This window comes from Homo sapiens, chromosome 11, assembly GCF_000001405.40.
Source record: "Homo sapiens chromosome 11, GRCh38.p14 Primary Assembly".
In the NCBI taxonomy this organism is placed as follows: Eukaryota; Metazoa; Chordata; class Mammalia; order Primates; family Hominidae; genus Homo; species Homo sapiens.
In genome coordinates, this window is record NC_000011.10 from 102,488,254 (window position 1) to 102,503,249 (window position 14,996).

A 14,996-nucleotide genomic window follows, 5' to 3' on the forward strand; every position below is an offset into this window, starting at 1 on the left:
TGAGCTAATAGGTTCGTTTTTAGTATCTGATTCTTGATTTTTATGTAGGAATCTCAAGGGGATGTCCAGTAGAATTCTCATACATACGAGTTGCTATTCTGTAGTGAGGGCAGGGCTGAAGATACAGATTTGAGAGTCACAGGGGGGCACACAGCCACCCCAGAGCTTCTGAAAGGTGAAACTGAAGAGGTGAAACTCCTTGCATCCTGCAAGTGTCTTGTTCTTGAGATGAACCAGATCAAGACAGGGCAAGAGAGGAGATACTGAAGCCCAACCCTGAAAACCTGGCCCAGCTTCTGGGGCTGACAATCAAGGCTGAGGCTGGTGAGCAGTGTGGTGTGAGAGGCTGAAGCATGGTTGGAGTGTGGCCAAAATAAATCTGGAAGGGTAACCAAGGAATGGTGAGCAGAGAAATCTTTCCTCCGGGGGTAGTCTCTCAACTACTAGATCTACACCCTGAATTAGGAATCTCCTGTATTATAATGTTTGACTCTTAAGTCGGAAAGCTCAAGTGTGAGAGAAGTATAACGTTTATGACCTATGAATCCACCTAATTTTGACTCCAAGCTGCCACGCATTAGGCTGGTAGGAAGGTGAATGTAAATCACTCCAGTAGGTTTGGGTCCCACCTCAGTCACACTCCCTTACTCTGCCAAGGCTCCGGAGGCCTTCCTTAGTCACTGGTCATCTCCCACATCAGTCAATGCTGACATGCCCATTGTCTGTGTCTGCACAATACTGGCAGGTCTGGCAGCATCTGGCAGTTTCCGTGACATATTTAGGACACTGGACTATTCGGCAAAGCTCTGCAACCCATTGCCTAGGGCTTTGTTTTCCTAGATGAACTGAGTACCTCCTGCCTGGAGTCTTGCTTCCCATAGTAATGACCCAAGCAGAGAATGGGTCCTCTTGCTTCTAGACCTACAGATCTCTTCTCTTCAGGACCTCTAAAGTCATCTCTAGTTTGGGTGGATATTTCTCCCTCTTGTTCTTTCACCATATGCTTTTATAATTCATCAGATTCATAACTTGAAAAACATGTTCCTCTTTCCTCCAGGAAAGGGAGGGATTACTAATCCAAAGTGAGGGAAAATATTTGCATTTCACTTTCTTGTCCATCAAAAAAAGGGAAGAAAAACAAAAACAGTTAAGATTTTGTACTGAAATAGTGAGCATTTACACCCTGCCACATATTTGTGGAGAGGAGGATAAACAAGTGCAAGGAAATACCCAGGAGAAGGACTTGATGAATGAGACAATTGGCAGGACATATGATGGGTCTGAGGAGTGGCTGAAGATGATGTCTTTAAACTTGGACTTCCCTGATTTTCAGAATGGAGCATTGCAATGAGCCTGCATTCAGGGTCCATAGATCAAACCTGAATATCCCCAGTTACCTAGTAGATAGGGCTGCAGGTGGCAGGGGTGGGGGCTGGGCATTAGTGGTCTAACCTCGTATGAACTTTCCTGCTTCTGGTCAAGAAGGCTTTGGAATTCTGTTGGGGGTTGAATCTGGGTGCTGAATTTTTGCTTTAATCTGTGAATTGTTGCGGATGCCCACGGCTGAAATTAACTAACTTTTAAAAATAATTAGTCAGTTTACTTGCTTTATTTCATTTGTTCTTCAAACTACCCAGGAAGGTAAATGTCACAGTTTCCATTCTGCTGATGGGAAACCTGAAACTCAGAGAGGCCAGGGGAATTTATCACAGTAATAGAGCAAGTATGTGACATCAAATCCATGTCAGTTATTGTAGGTTTACCCTAGCGGATAATTTATTGTCCAATAGTGATATTTCGAGAATGAAAGGGGCAACTATTAATAATTATCTCAGGACTATAAGTAAAACCAGAGTTTTCCTGTGTGGTCAGTCAACTTGGCTATTTTTTTATTTGTATTAACTTTTTAAAGAACAAATTGTAATCTTTGTAATCATTTCAACTTTTAAAAATTCCCCAGCATGGCCGACATTGCAAAACCCTGTCTCTACTAAAAATACAAAAATTAGCCGGGCGTTGTGGTGCATGCCAGTAGTCCCAGCTACTCAGGAGGCTGAGGCAGGAGAATTGCTTGAACCCAGGAGGTGGAGGTTGCAATGAACTGAGATCATGCCACTGCACTCCAGCCTGGGCAACAGAGCGAGACTCTGCCAAAAAAAAAAAAAAAAGACTTCTAATTCCTTTTATGAAGCCAATATAACCCTAATATCAAAACTTGATAAGAGTAGTGCAATAAAGTAGATTACAGATAGTTCTCACTTCTGAACAGAAATGCAAGAATACTAATATGCATTAGGTAACTGAATTTGGTAATTACTAAAATAATATATCATGATTTAAAAATATAGCATACCATGACCAGTTATAGTTAATTCTTAGGACCGCAAGGAGATAATTCTACATTTGAAAAATTTATTAATGTGATTTCCCATATTAAGAAACCAAAGAAAGAAATACCTAGAACATTTCAACAGAGCATAAAAAGCATTCCATAAGGTGCTATATTTATTTACAATTTAAATTAGCAGAAAACTAGGAACAGAAAGAAATTTCCTTAATGTGATAAAAAGGTATTTACTGTTTACCTGGAAAATCTTGAAAAATGTTTGCTTTAAAATTAGGGATAATTCAAGAATACTGGCTATCATAATGTTCTGCCTCACACTGGAGGCTCAGGCCAATGTAATAACATGACATAGAACACTAAGAAATATAACGATTGGATTGGAGGAAATAAAATTGTCATTTCCAAGTGTTATGACTGCTATGACTATTTACATAGAAAATTAAAGTAAATCAATAAACTCTTAGAAGTAATAAGAAGCTTGGGGATTGCAAGATCAATATACAAAAGTCAGCAACATTTTTCAGTACTAGAAATAATAAAATTAAAAAGATAATAGAAAAGAAGATACTGTCTAAAACAATCCCAAATCCCGGTAAAATATCAAGACTTAATAGACAAAAACTCACAAGACTACCACAGAAGAACATTTTGAAACTCTACCAAAGGGCAAAAAGAAACCTGAATTAATAATCAGAAAAATCATCTTCATGAATGAGGCAGCAGTATTTAAGGATAACCATTTTCCCTCAATTTAGGACAATTCCAAGCAAAATTATAGCTACTTTAGGGAGAATGTGCCTTCTCATATTTTGAACGAACCCTCCATTGAGTAAGTCTTGATAGAGGGCAGAGCCCTGCCTCTCTCTGTGGAAGTAGGAGAAGAATCAGAACCTTCTTTCTCTCTGGAGACTAGGATATGAGTATGTAATCCTAACTTGGACATAACATTCTCCTTTCTGGAACTCTGAAGCTTGTGTGAGTGGTAGGGTGATGCAGGGACGGTTTGCAAGAACATTCTCTGTGGCAGCATCCTGGTGGTGTCCTAACCAGGCTCTCTGCAGCAGTGTAGCCTTCTCTGTTGTCAAGCCTCCCATGGTTCCTGCCCATTTTCTGAGCCTGTTTCTCTAATCTTCTTTCTGATTTTTGAGCTCTCTGATATCTTTCCCAATAAAATTCATTTCTGTATTAATTTGGAATCAGTTTCTGTTCCTTACAATCAATAACTTGGAACTGGGAATGTTTACAAAATGATTCTGAAATTCATGTAAAAGTATACATGTCCATGAGTAAATTAAGACCAGGGATTGGTCAACTTTTTCTACAAAAGACTGGATATTAAACATTTTAATCTTTGGTGGCTGGATGCAACTACCCAATTTGGCTGTTGCAGTGTTCAAAAGAAGCAAATTAGAGTAGTGGTGTTTTAATAAAACTTACTAAAATAGTTAGTGAATAGGGTTGGGCCCATGAACCCTAATTCCCTAACCCCTGCCTAAGACAATCAGAAAAAAAAAAAAAAGAAAAAGAGGGGACAGCCCCTTTCCACCAGATATTTAAACATATTACTCAGCCGTAGTAGGTAAACCAATGTGGTACTGGTACAGGAACATACGAATAGACCAGAATAGAACCCAGAAACAGGCACATGAGAATTTGGTCTATTTTGGAGAAAAAATTAGTTTTTATGGAAAAATAAAAATTAGATTCCTACCTAAGGGAGAGATGTAAAAATAAGTAAGGACTTAAATATGAAAGATTGTAACTGCTAGAAAAAAATATATAGGTCGGGCATGGTAGCCCATGCTTGTAATCCTAGCACTTTGGGAGGCTAGGTGAGAGGATTGCTTGAGCTCAGGAGTTCAAGACCAACCTGGGCAACATAATAAGACCCCGTCTCTACAGAAAATACAAAAATTCGTTGGGTGTTGTGGCATGTGTCTGTGGTCCCAGCTACTCAGGAGGCTGAGGTGGGAAGATCACTTGAGCCTGGGAAGTTGAGGCAACAGTGAGGCTGCACTGCACTCCAGACTGGGTGACAGAGCAAGACCCTGTCTCAACAACTAAAAATAAAACATAGAATATCTTTAGGATTTTGGAGTAGAGAAGAATTATGATCATCAGGCCAGTATTAAAATATTTTGCATTTTCTGAGGACACATCAGAGAAAGTGATTGGGTTATGAGGACAAATTTGCCTAGAGCTCAATTCTGTGTTGTTATTTCAGGTAAGCATAGTCTTTCTTCAAAGAACCAAGGACTAGCCGAGTGTGGTTTCGTCTCTACTAAAAAAAGAACCAAGGACTGGTTATTTGTTGGTGGCTGAATGATTGGTTTGTGAAAAGACAGGAAACCCAGGCTGAATAGGGAATGGTGGTCTGGTCTTTGTGTTGACAACAATTAATAGGAAAACCCCAAGAGGCAGAATTTGGAGCCAAAAGGCAGTACGGGGCCCTGATGGATGATTCTATATGAAAATAGATTGTCCCTGAACATGGCTATCAGGGACAATCACGAGGCAAATGACTAAGTCCAGACACAAAGTCAGATATCCAGTAATTGTTGTTTGTTTTTGTTTTCTATATGTATATGTCCTTAAGATTATCTTATCGGAGAGGCAATTATTATTATTATTTTATTTTTTCGGGACAGAATCTGGCTCTGTTGCCCAGGCTGGAGTGCAGTGGCACGATCTTGGCTCACTGCAACCTCCACCTCCTGGGTTCAAGCAATTCTCCTGCCTCAGCCTCCCGAGTAGCTGGGATTAGAGTCACCTGCCACCACCTAATTTTTTAGGCTAATTTATTTTAGTATTTTTTTTCTTTTTTAATAAAGATGGGGCTTCACCATGTTGGTAAGGCTGGTCTCGAACTCCTGACCTCAGGTGATCCACCCACCTCGGCTTCCCAAAGTGTTGGGATTACAGGCGTGAGCCACTGCGCCTGGGGAGGCAATTAAAAAGACTTTGGAAACATACAAATATAGCTTCAAATGCAAGTGCTGTCACATCCCAGCCGTGAGAATTTCCTAATTTATGAAATGAATAAAATAATACCTACTTTTCAGGGTTGCTGTAGTGATCAGAATGTAGGTATGTAGGGTGGATTAGGGATGGCTGCACATTCTTTGTTATGTACTCACATTGAGAAATGGAGTTTAATAATTAAGTGCCTTATTCAACAGGTATTTAACGGGTGCTTACTCTGTGTCATGTGCCCTTCTTGCTGCTGAACAAAGTGGATAAATTCCTTGCCTGAAAGTAATTAAGGTAATACCTTTTAATCATTGTTGGTGATGTAATGGTTATTAAGATAACCAGAATATCGGGGTTTACCTAAAAAGACCTAATTGTCTGATATGGACACGTAAGAAATGAAGTTCAAAGGAAATCTGTCCTAAGTAAATTATAATTAACATCTAAGTATTAATCGTTAACAAGCTGAATAGACACCATATAGCTATTTCAAATTTAAATTAGCCTCTATCTTACCTATTATTTTTAATTTCTACCACTACCTTCTGGAAGCTGTGTAAATGAAAATCCTAACTGAGTAAGTTAACACAAATAAATACCACTTATCCATTCATTCATTCAACCGATCATTCAACAAATATTTTATTTTATTTATTTATTTTTTGAGGCAGAGTCTCACTCTGTCGCCGGTGTGCATCACCACACCCAGTTAATTTTTTGTATTTTTAGTAGAGATGGGGTTTCGCTATGTTGGCCAGGCTGGTCTCAAACTCCCGGTTTTAAGTGATCCACCCACCTTGACCAAAGTGCTGGAATTACAGGCGTGAGTCACAGCGCCTGGCTTCAACAAATATTTGTTGGACAACTTTTATGTGCTAAACTGTGCTAACCATTGTTTCTCTGAATGATTCAGACATAGACTCTGCTTTTTCTGCCAAGAACTCCACTTTTCATATCAAAATTATGGTAGAGGAGGAAAAACTTGAAAAAAAAGTGCTAGGTTAATCATATCTTTTATAACTGAATGATTTCTTAGATTAAGATATTTTAATCTATTTACTTTGAGGTAGATTGATCCCTGAATGACATAGTCTAGTTACTGATAACTAAAAAAGTACAATTAGGTGTTAAGTTTGAATAGAATTTCAATCCATTATTTAGGGTTCCTAAATTTTTCTATATACTGTAGTTGCTTGGTTTTATTCAGGGCTAGGGAAATTTGCTAATTTGAGAGGCAAGACAAAAAAGCCTGTCAAATGCATTTGTATTATGCCAAAGTAGTTCTCAAGGTATCTTTCAAGTGAATGTTTAGCACATATGCGTGCACACAAAACAAACTTGATGTTCACCATTATCAACGACTAGGATGGCAAATCCACTCTTGCTTTGTAACCAAGGAAAGTCACTGCTGCATGGTCGTAACGTGCTTAGTCTTTATGAAGATGCCTCAGCAAAAGATGACAGGGATATAAGACTGAGTTATTCCTTTGAAGTTTAACTCATTATCCTTTGGTAATCATAACTCCATGTTTTTTACCTCCCCAGTTAAAGTTCCAAAAGGCAACAGTAGGTCACAGCAGCCCCTTAGTCGGAGGTTAGGCTCAGGTGCAATTTACTCTCCTCTGTATGCTTGCTAGTAACCAAAGGAGTAACAGTTTCGCACACCAAAAATGATCAGAGTCAGTGGCCAGGGTTTACGTTTCATGACAGCCTTCTATACTTGTAGGAAATACAGACTTTACCGTTAAAGAAACTAATGTGGTCACCAGGGTCATGGTCTTTAGATTCACGTCATCTGGAGTGTAAAGCACTAGATCTGAATTCCCTTTTTGTTGATTGGGGCATTGACAATTGAACTGTAATGACAAAAGAGGGTATAAACTAGAACGTATGTTTGCTGATCCATACAGCATTTTTGTGGTAGCAAGTATTCTTTTGGTTAGAATTAATACATCTCTTCTGGTTTGAATGATAGTCTCCTGAAGTTGATGAAACTTAGTGGTTTCATAAGAGAAAGGGTGCCCTCATGTGGCGATTTAGAAACATAACAGCAAATTCTTTGGCATTCCCGGCTTCAAGGAGGAGGTGTATATTGCCTCATTTTAACTCTGGTTGTGTTTCTGATTACTTTTATCAGAAGAGTATGGCAGAAGTGAGGTTATATGACTTCTATGGCTAGATCTTAAAAGTCATACAGCCTCCATGGTGGAGAAGATGCCATGAGCAGGCAGTATGGTTGACAGTCCCAGCTGAGCCCAGATTTCCAATTATCTCCAGCAACGCAGCAGACGTGTGATTGAAGCCATCCCAGCCCCTCCCAACCAGCCCATCGGCCCCACAGAACAAAAGGATCACCTAGGGCAGCCTTGCCTGAACTCCTGGCCTACCAAATCATGAGACATAATAAAATGATTGTTGTTTTGAGCTACGGTTTAGGGTTCTTTTTATGCAATGTTCGATAACTGGACACTCCTTCTGTTAATTCAAGTTCTCTAAAAGCTGATACCAAGAGGATCGGATTCGACATAAAAGAGGTTTTTGGGGAAACACCTGTGAAGGATAACGGGTGAAGGAGTGGACTAGGTAGGGAGAGCTTTCAGACTCTGATGCAGGTCTGGAATCTGAAGGAAGAAAGATTAGGCAAGAAGAGTCTTAGGCTATCTCACAAGAAAATAAAGTATTTCCAGGCTGTGGTGGTGGGGGGGGAGGTCCTCAAGCCTGTTAGAAAGATTCTGCTTATCCCAAACACTTTATGTCAAACTGGAGTTTTGGACCTGTGTGCGGCATGCTAGAATTGATAGAATGTAGCTTAGAAACTCACGAAAACAACTTACAGAATCCCACGCCGGGCGCGGTGGCTCACGCCTGTAATCCCAGCACTTTGGGAAGCTGAGGTGGGCGTATCACCTGAGGTTGGGAGTTTCAGACCAGCCTGACTAACACGGAGAAACCCCGCCTCTACTAAAAATACAAAATTAGCTGGGTGTGGTGGCACGTGCCTGTAATCCCAGCTTACTCCGGAGGCTGAAGCAGGAGAATAGCTTGAACCCGGGAGGCAGAGGTTGCAGTGAGCTGAGATCGCGCCATTGCACTCCAGCCTGGGCAACAAGAGTGAAACTCCGTCTCAAAAAACAAACAAACAAACAAACAAACAAACAAAAAATCAACTTATAGAATCCCAGTGTTAGGACTTTCTCCCTCTCACATTGTATATCATCTATTATAACTCTGAAAATGTATTATAGTTTTTTTTTTTTTTTGAGACGGAGTCTTGTTCTGTCACCCAGGCTGGAGTGCAGTGGTGGTGCAATCTCGGCTCACTACAACTTCCGCCTCCTGGGTTCAAGCAATTCTCCTGCCTCAGCCTCCCAAGTATCTGTGATTACAGGTGTGCCCCACCACGCCTGGCTAATTTTTGTATTTTTAGTAGAGTTGGGGTTTTGCCATGTTGGCCAGGCTGGTCTCGAACTCCTGACCGCAAATGATTCACCCGCCCCCCCCCCACTTGGCCTCCCAAAGTGCGGCGATTACAGGTGTGAGACACTGCGCCCAGCCAAAATGTGTTATAGTTATTTTTTACATAGCCATGTTATTCATCAGACTTTGATATTCTTGAAGGCAGGATCTATGTGTTTTTTTTTTATCTTTGTATCCTTCTTCATTCCCCAAGTTCCTGGCTCAATGAATGCTTGTTGAATGACTAAGAATGATAGTGAAATCACATTCCCTGTGTGGTTCTCAGAACAAATTGTAATTCTCTGGATTTACTTATAAGGACTTCATTGTTGATGAAATATCTGAATATTAATTATGTCTTCTAAAAATATGTTGTAAACAGACTTGTAAATAATAGTGAAGAAAATCACATGAAAGGAGGAATTTCTCTTTAATGGTACTTTGCTATCTTAGTAAATAGTTTTTATAGTCTTTGCTAGCGCTGCTCTCCCACCATTTTCTGACAGGATTATGGATAGTAGAATTCATAACTCACTAGACTGACGTTTTAGTTGACTTCCTAGAGAATATATTTGATCTTGTAAGTTCTGTACCTAAAGACTTCCTTGTCACTGTATCCTATTGTGATGGTTCCCAGATTTTTGGATTTCATGGATTAATATCATTTTTTAAAAACTGGGATGCTGACACTTATTTTGTAAAGCAAGAACATCAAAAATAATCTATGGCCTATTATTACCATCATTTTACAAAAGAAAGGCTATGTTCGTAACAAAAAGAGGATATCTCAGAATTTTAAAATGGAATGGACAGAGACAGATTACAGAGTTAGTACATTATCCTTATTGTTCAGCATTCCTTTACAGTTTGGTACCAGCCTGTGTACCTGAACTATTGGCTGTAAATTAAAATTTCAACTTATTTAAGGCTTTCCTAGTTGTCCAGCAGCTGCCATTTTCCAGGGGCTGGGAAGGAGGAATGAGAATGTCCTGGGGACAATGCTTTTTTTTTTTTTTTTTTTTGAGATGAAGTTTCATTCTTGTTGCCTAGGCTGGTGGGCTGTAGTGCAACAGCATGATCTTGGCTCACTGCAACCTCCGCCTCCCAGGTTCAAGCCATCCTCCTGCCTCAGCCTCCCAAGTAGCTGGGATTACAGGCGCCTGCCACCATGCCTGGCTAATTTTTGTCTTTTTAGTAGAGACGGGGTTTTGCCATGTTGGTCAGTCTCGTCTCAAACTCCTGACCTCAGGTGATCTACCTGCCTTGGCCTCCCAAAGTGCTTGGATTACAGGCATGAGCCACTGCATCCAGCAGATGCTTCATTTTTACAGAGGCAACACAGGAGTTGCACACCTCACGTCTGCTTACATTCTGTTGGCCTAGACTTGGTTGGAGGAAGAGACCAGTGAGGCTGGGGAATTCTGGTCTGTAGCTCTTGGCCATGTATTTAACTAAAACTTGGTGTTTCTATTTTTGAAAGGAAGAGGAGAATGGATACTGGAGAAAATAGTGATCCATCACAGCCCACTCCTTTGGCCCTCCATGTAGCCAGGCTCACCATTTTTTCTCAGCAGTGGAGCGTAATCACCACATACCAACAACCCAAAGTCCTGTCTGGGTGCTGCATCCATCTCCAAGTCCAGGATCTCTGGGTGATGTGCTGTCCTCTCCATCAAGTGACAGGGTGGCTCTTGCCTCCCACACCTACATCCAGTATGTAATGATGTTGTAGAATGGTATATCTGCAATAAAATCTCTCTTTCACAAATGGAAAATTGGGAAATGGGAAATGAGCAGGACTCAGTGGTTTATAACAATGGCGAAATTCTAATGGGCAGAAAAACAGACTCCTTGCCCTGGCAATGGAATACATTCTTGGTTAGAACTTGTTCCATTTTCTGTGAGCAATTCTTTGTCTATTGTCCTTTACTCATTATTCTCTACTTTTTGCAAGTGTTAGAAATATGTGCTTGTAGAAGGCTGTTCAGATTTCATAGCCTTCTTCCTGCTGGTGCAAGATAGGTGTGCCTGATCTATTTGCTATATGCATTATTTAGAATAGGCTACAGACCCCAGAACCTAATGATTTAAAGAAAAGATAGTTCATTTCACTTTTACAGAAGAGCTCTGTGCCGGAGTTTCATACCAGCAGTGGCCCCTGCTCCATGCAGTCCTTTGAGGACTAACATCAGTAGAGAATGAGCTAAGCTTCTTGACAAGGGGATGTAGATATGCAGTGGCTTAAAAAATAGAATTTCATTTCTCTCTATATTTCTGACTGCTGGCTGGAAATCAGAGACAAGCAGAGCAAGCTTGGGAGCCTCATATTGAGGAGAGCTCCCGCACCCGCCCAGGTCTGTGCACTGCTGGACTGTTAGATAAAAGAGAAATAAAATTTGCTAGCTTTTCAGGCTGCAAAATGTAAGAAAAGCAGAAAAGCATAAGACCAACAGAGTCCCTTTAAGCTTTCCTAGATATCCCACATCACATTCCTGTATACTTGCTGTTAAGAAAGTTTGAGAAATGGTCTTTGATTTACAATGGCAATATTCTTAGCTAAAAATTGGGGCTCTCCAAAAAAAAAAAAAAAAAAAAAGAAGTGGAGAATGAATGTTTGAGTAGGCATCTAGTAGTCTATGCCATCCTATCTAAACACCAGGAGAAAATGAGTTGGCCTTTTCAGTGGCTGTCTTAGTCTGTTTTGTGCTGCTATAACAAGATACCACAGACTGGGTAATATATAAAGAACAAAAATTGACATCTGCAGAGTCTGGAGGATGGGAAGCTCAAAATCAAGGGACTGGCATCCGGTGAGGACTTTCTTGCTGTATCATTCTATGGTGGAAAGCAAGAGGGAGGGAGAGAGAGAGAGAGCGAGCGAGAGAGAACGAGAGAGTGAGCCAAACTTGTTTTTTTATAATTCCCATGATAACAAACTCCCTCCTGCAATAATGGCATTAATCCACTCATGAGGACAGAGCCCCCACAGCTTTGTCACTTCTTAAAGCTTCCACCTCTTAATACTGTTAGAATGACGTTTAAGTTTCAACATGAGTTTGGGAAGAGACAAACATTCAAGCCCTAGCAATGGCTTAGTTTGTTCATCTATAGTCACATGAAGTGCATTGCTATGTGTGGTTAAATATAGTTTAATTATTGTCAAGAACATTCCAGAAGACATGAAGTTGAAGAAAAGAAGTTCTACAACGGTGATGTGTTATTAAAAATGATTTCTTTCAGCCTAATAAAACTAAACCTGGAATAGCTATAATTTCTTCACTAAATTATTAACTCTGCAATGATAAATAGCTGGTTCCTTTTTAATACAAACATTTTTAAAAGACACTTTTATTCCATGGTAACTTGTGTTATTGTTTCTTCCTAACAGTCACACTTCATTTTTCAGATGAGATATCCTGTTTCTAACTTTCTCTTCCTTATTAAGGAAACTTTTTGCCTAAAGAAACTTTGTGATAATTATTTTTTATGTGCTTTTGAAAAATATTTTATGGTGTTATTATTACAAAATAAATTCCTGTCCATTATAAAAACACATATAAGGAAAACCTGGATATGACCATGCATACTATTTTGTTCTTTATCATTCCACACCTAAACATATGTTTATACTATATTTATACATTTAAAAAATATGTTTAAAATATACTAAAAAATAGAACTGATAATTCAATACATAGTATTTTACAAATTGAATTTTAACTTATATTATGATCTTTTTTCATTGTAAATTTTTCTCTTTTTTTGAGGAAAAATATATATAACATAAAATTTAATGTCTTAATCATTTTTAAGTGTACAGTTCAGTGGTATTAAGTACATTCGTATGCTTGTACAACCATCACCACCATCAATCTCCAGAACACTTTCCTTCTTGCAGAACTGAAGCTGTATGCCCATTAAACAATAATTCTCTATTGCCCCTTCCCCCAAAGGCCCTGGAAACTATCATTCTACTTTCCATCTCTATGAATGTTATACTCTAAGTACCTCATGTAAGTGGAGTCATGCAGTGCTTGTCTTTTTGTAACTGGCTTATTTCACTGAGCCTAAGGTCCTCAAGTTTTATCCAGAATTTTCTTCCTTTTTATGGCTAACATTCCATTGTGTATATATACCACATTTTGTTTATCTGTTCATCTGTCAGTGGACACTTGTGTGCCTCCACATTTTAGCTCCCGGGAATAATGCTGCTATGAACATGAGTGTACAACTGTGTCTTTGAGACCCTGCTTTCAATTCTTTTGCGTACTTTCCCAGAAGTGGAATCGCTGCATCATATGATAATTCTGCTTTTATTTCTTGGAGAACCACTGTACTGTTTTCCACAACTGCTATACAATTTTCCCTCGAAGTGTGCACAGAGGTTCCAATTTCTTCATATATTCACCCACACTTATTCTCAGCTTTTAAAAATAGAAGCCATCTTAGGGGATGTGAGTGAGGCAGTATCTTGTTGTGGTTTTGATTTGCATTTCTCTAATGATTAGTGATGTTGAGCATGTTTTAATGTGCTTATCGATCATTTGTATATATTCTTTGTAGAAACTTCTATTTAAGTTCTTTGCCCATTTTTAAATCAAAATTTTTTTGTTGTCAAATTTTAGGAGGTCTCTATATATGCTCTATATTAATTCCTTATCATATATATGATTTGCAAATATTTTCTCCCATTCTTTGGGTTGCCTTTTTATTCTGTTGAGAGTGTTTTTTGATGCACAAAATTCTTACATTTTCATGAAGTCCAGTATGTGCATTTTGTTGTTGTTGTCTGGGCTTTTGGTGTCCTATCCAATAAATCATTGTCAAATCCAATATCATGAAGCACTTGCCCTGTGCTTTCTTCTCAGAATTTTTTTTTTGTTTGGTTTTCTGTTCCTGTGTTAGTTTGCTAAGAATGATAGTTTCTAGCTTCATCCATGTCCCTGCAAAGACATGAACTCATTCTTTTTTATGGCTACGTAGTATTCCGTGGTGTATATGTGCCACGTTTTCTTTATCCAGCCTATCATTGATGGACATTTGGGTTGGCTCCAAGTCTTTGCTATTGTAAATAGGGCTGCAATAAACATACGTGTGCATGTGTCTTTATAGTAGAGTGATTTTTTTTGTTTGTTTGTTTTGAGAGGGAGTTTTCCTCTGTTGCCCAGGCTGGAGTGCAGTGGTGTGATCTCGGCTTGCTGCAACTTCCACCTCCCGGGTTAAAGTGATTCTCCTGCCTCAGCCTCCCAAGTAGTTGGGATTACAGGTGCCTGCCACCATGCCCAGCTAATTTTTGTATTTTTAGTAGAGACGGGGTTTCACCATGTTGGTCAGGCTGGTTTTGTACTGCTGACCTGAGGTGATCTGCCTGCCTTGGCCTCCCAAAGTGCTGGGATTATAGGTGTGAGCCACCACACATGACAGTAGAATGATTTATAATCCTTTGGGTATATAACCAGCAATGGGATTGCTGGGTCAAATGGTGTTTCTGGTTCTAGATCCTTGAGGAATCACCACACTGTCTTCCACAATGGTTGAACTAATTTACACTCCCACCAACAGCGTAAAGCATTCCTATTTCTCCACATGCTCTTCAGCATCTGTTGTTTCCTGACTTTTTAATGATTGCCATTCTAACTGGCATGAGATGGTATCTCATTGTGGTTTTGATCTGCATTTCTCTAGTGACCAGTGATAACGAGATTTTTTTTCCTATGTTTTTTGGTCACATAAATGTCTTCTTTTGAGTAGTGTCTGTTCACATCCTTTGCGCACTTTTTGATGGGGTTGTTTTTTTCCTGTAACTTTGTTTAAGTTCCTTGTAGATTCTGGATACTAGACCTTTGTCAGATGGATAGATTGCAAAAATTTTCTCCCATCTGTAGGTTGCCTGTTTACTCTGATGATAGTTTATTTTGCCGTGCAGAAACTCTTTAGTGTAATTAGATCCCATTTGTCAATTTTGGCTTTTGTTGCATGCAATTGCTTTTGGTGTTTTAGTCACGAAGTCTTTGTACATGCCTATGTCCTGAATGGTATTGCCTAGGTTTTCTTCTAGGGTTTTTGTGGTTTTAGGTCTTACATTGAAGTCTTTAAACCATCTTGAATTAATTTTTGTATAAGGTGTAAGGAAGGGGTCTGGTTTCAGTTTTCTGCATATAGCCAGCCAGTTTTCCCAACACGATTATTAAATAGGGAATCTTTTCCCCGTTGCTTGTTTTTA

The 14,996-nt window shown here is 39.4% G+C and overlaps 1 long non-coding RNA gene across 1 annotated transcript in view; it reads left to right on the plus strand.

Annotated features, from left to right (window-relative positions):
• The window catches only part of LOC102723838 (uncharacterized), a 31,547-nt gene extending 20,999 nt beyond the window's left edge, over positions 1-10,548 (plus strand). Inside the window, exons 2-3 of the long non-coding RNA NR_135076.1 lie at positions 5,527-5,611; positions 10,254-10,548. This is a non-coding gene — a long non-coding RNA (uncharacterized LOC102723838). The remainder of the gene's footprint in view (positions 1-5,526; positions 5,612-10,253) is intronic.
• The last annotated feature ends 4,448 nt before the right edge of the window (positions 10,549-14,996 follow it).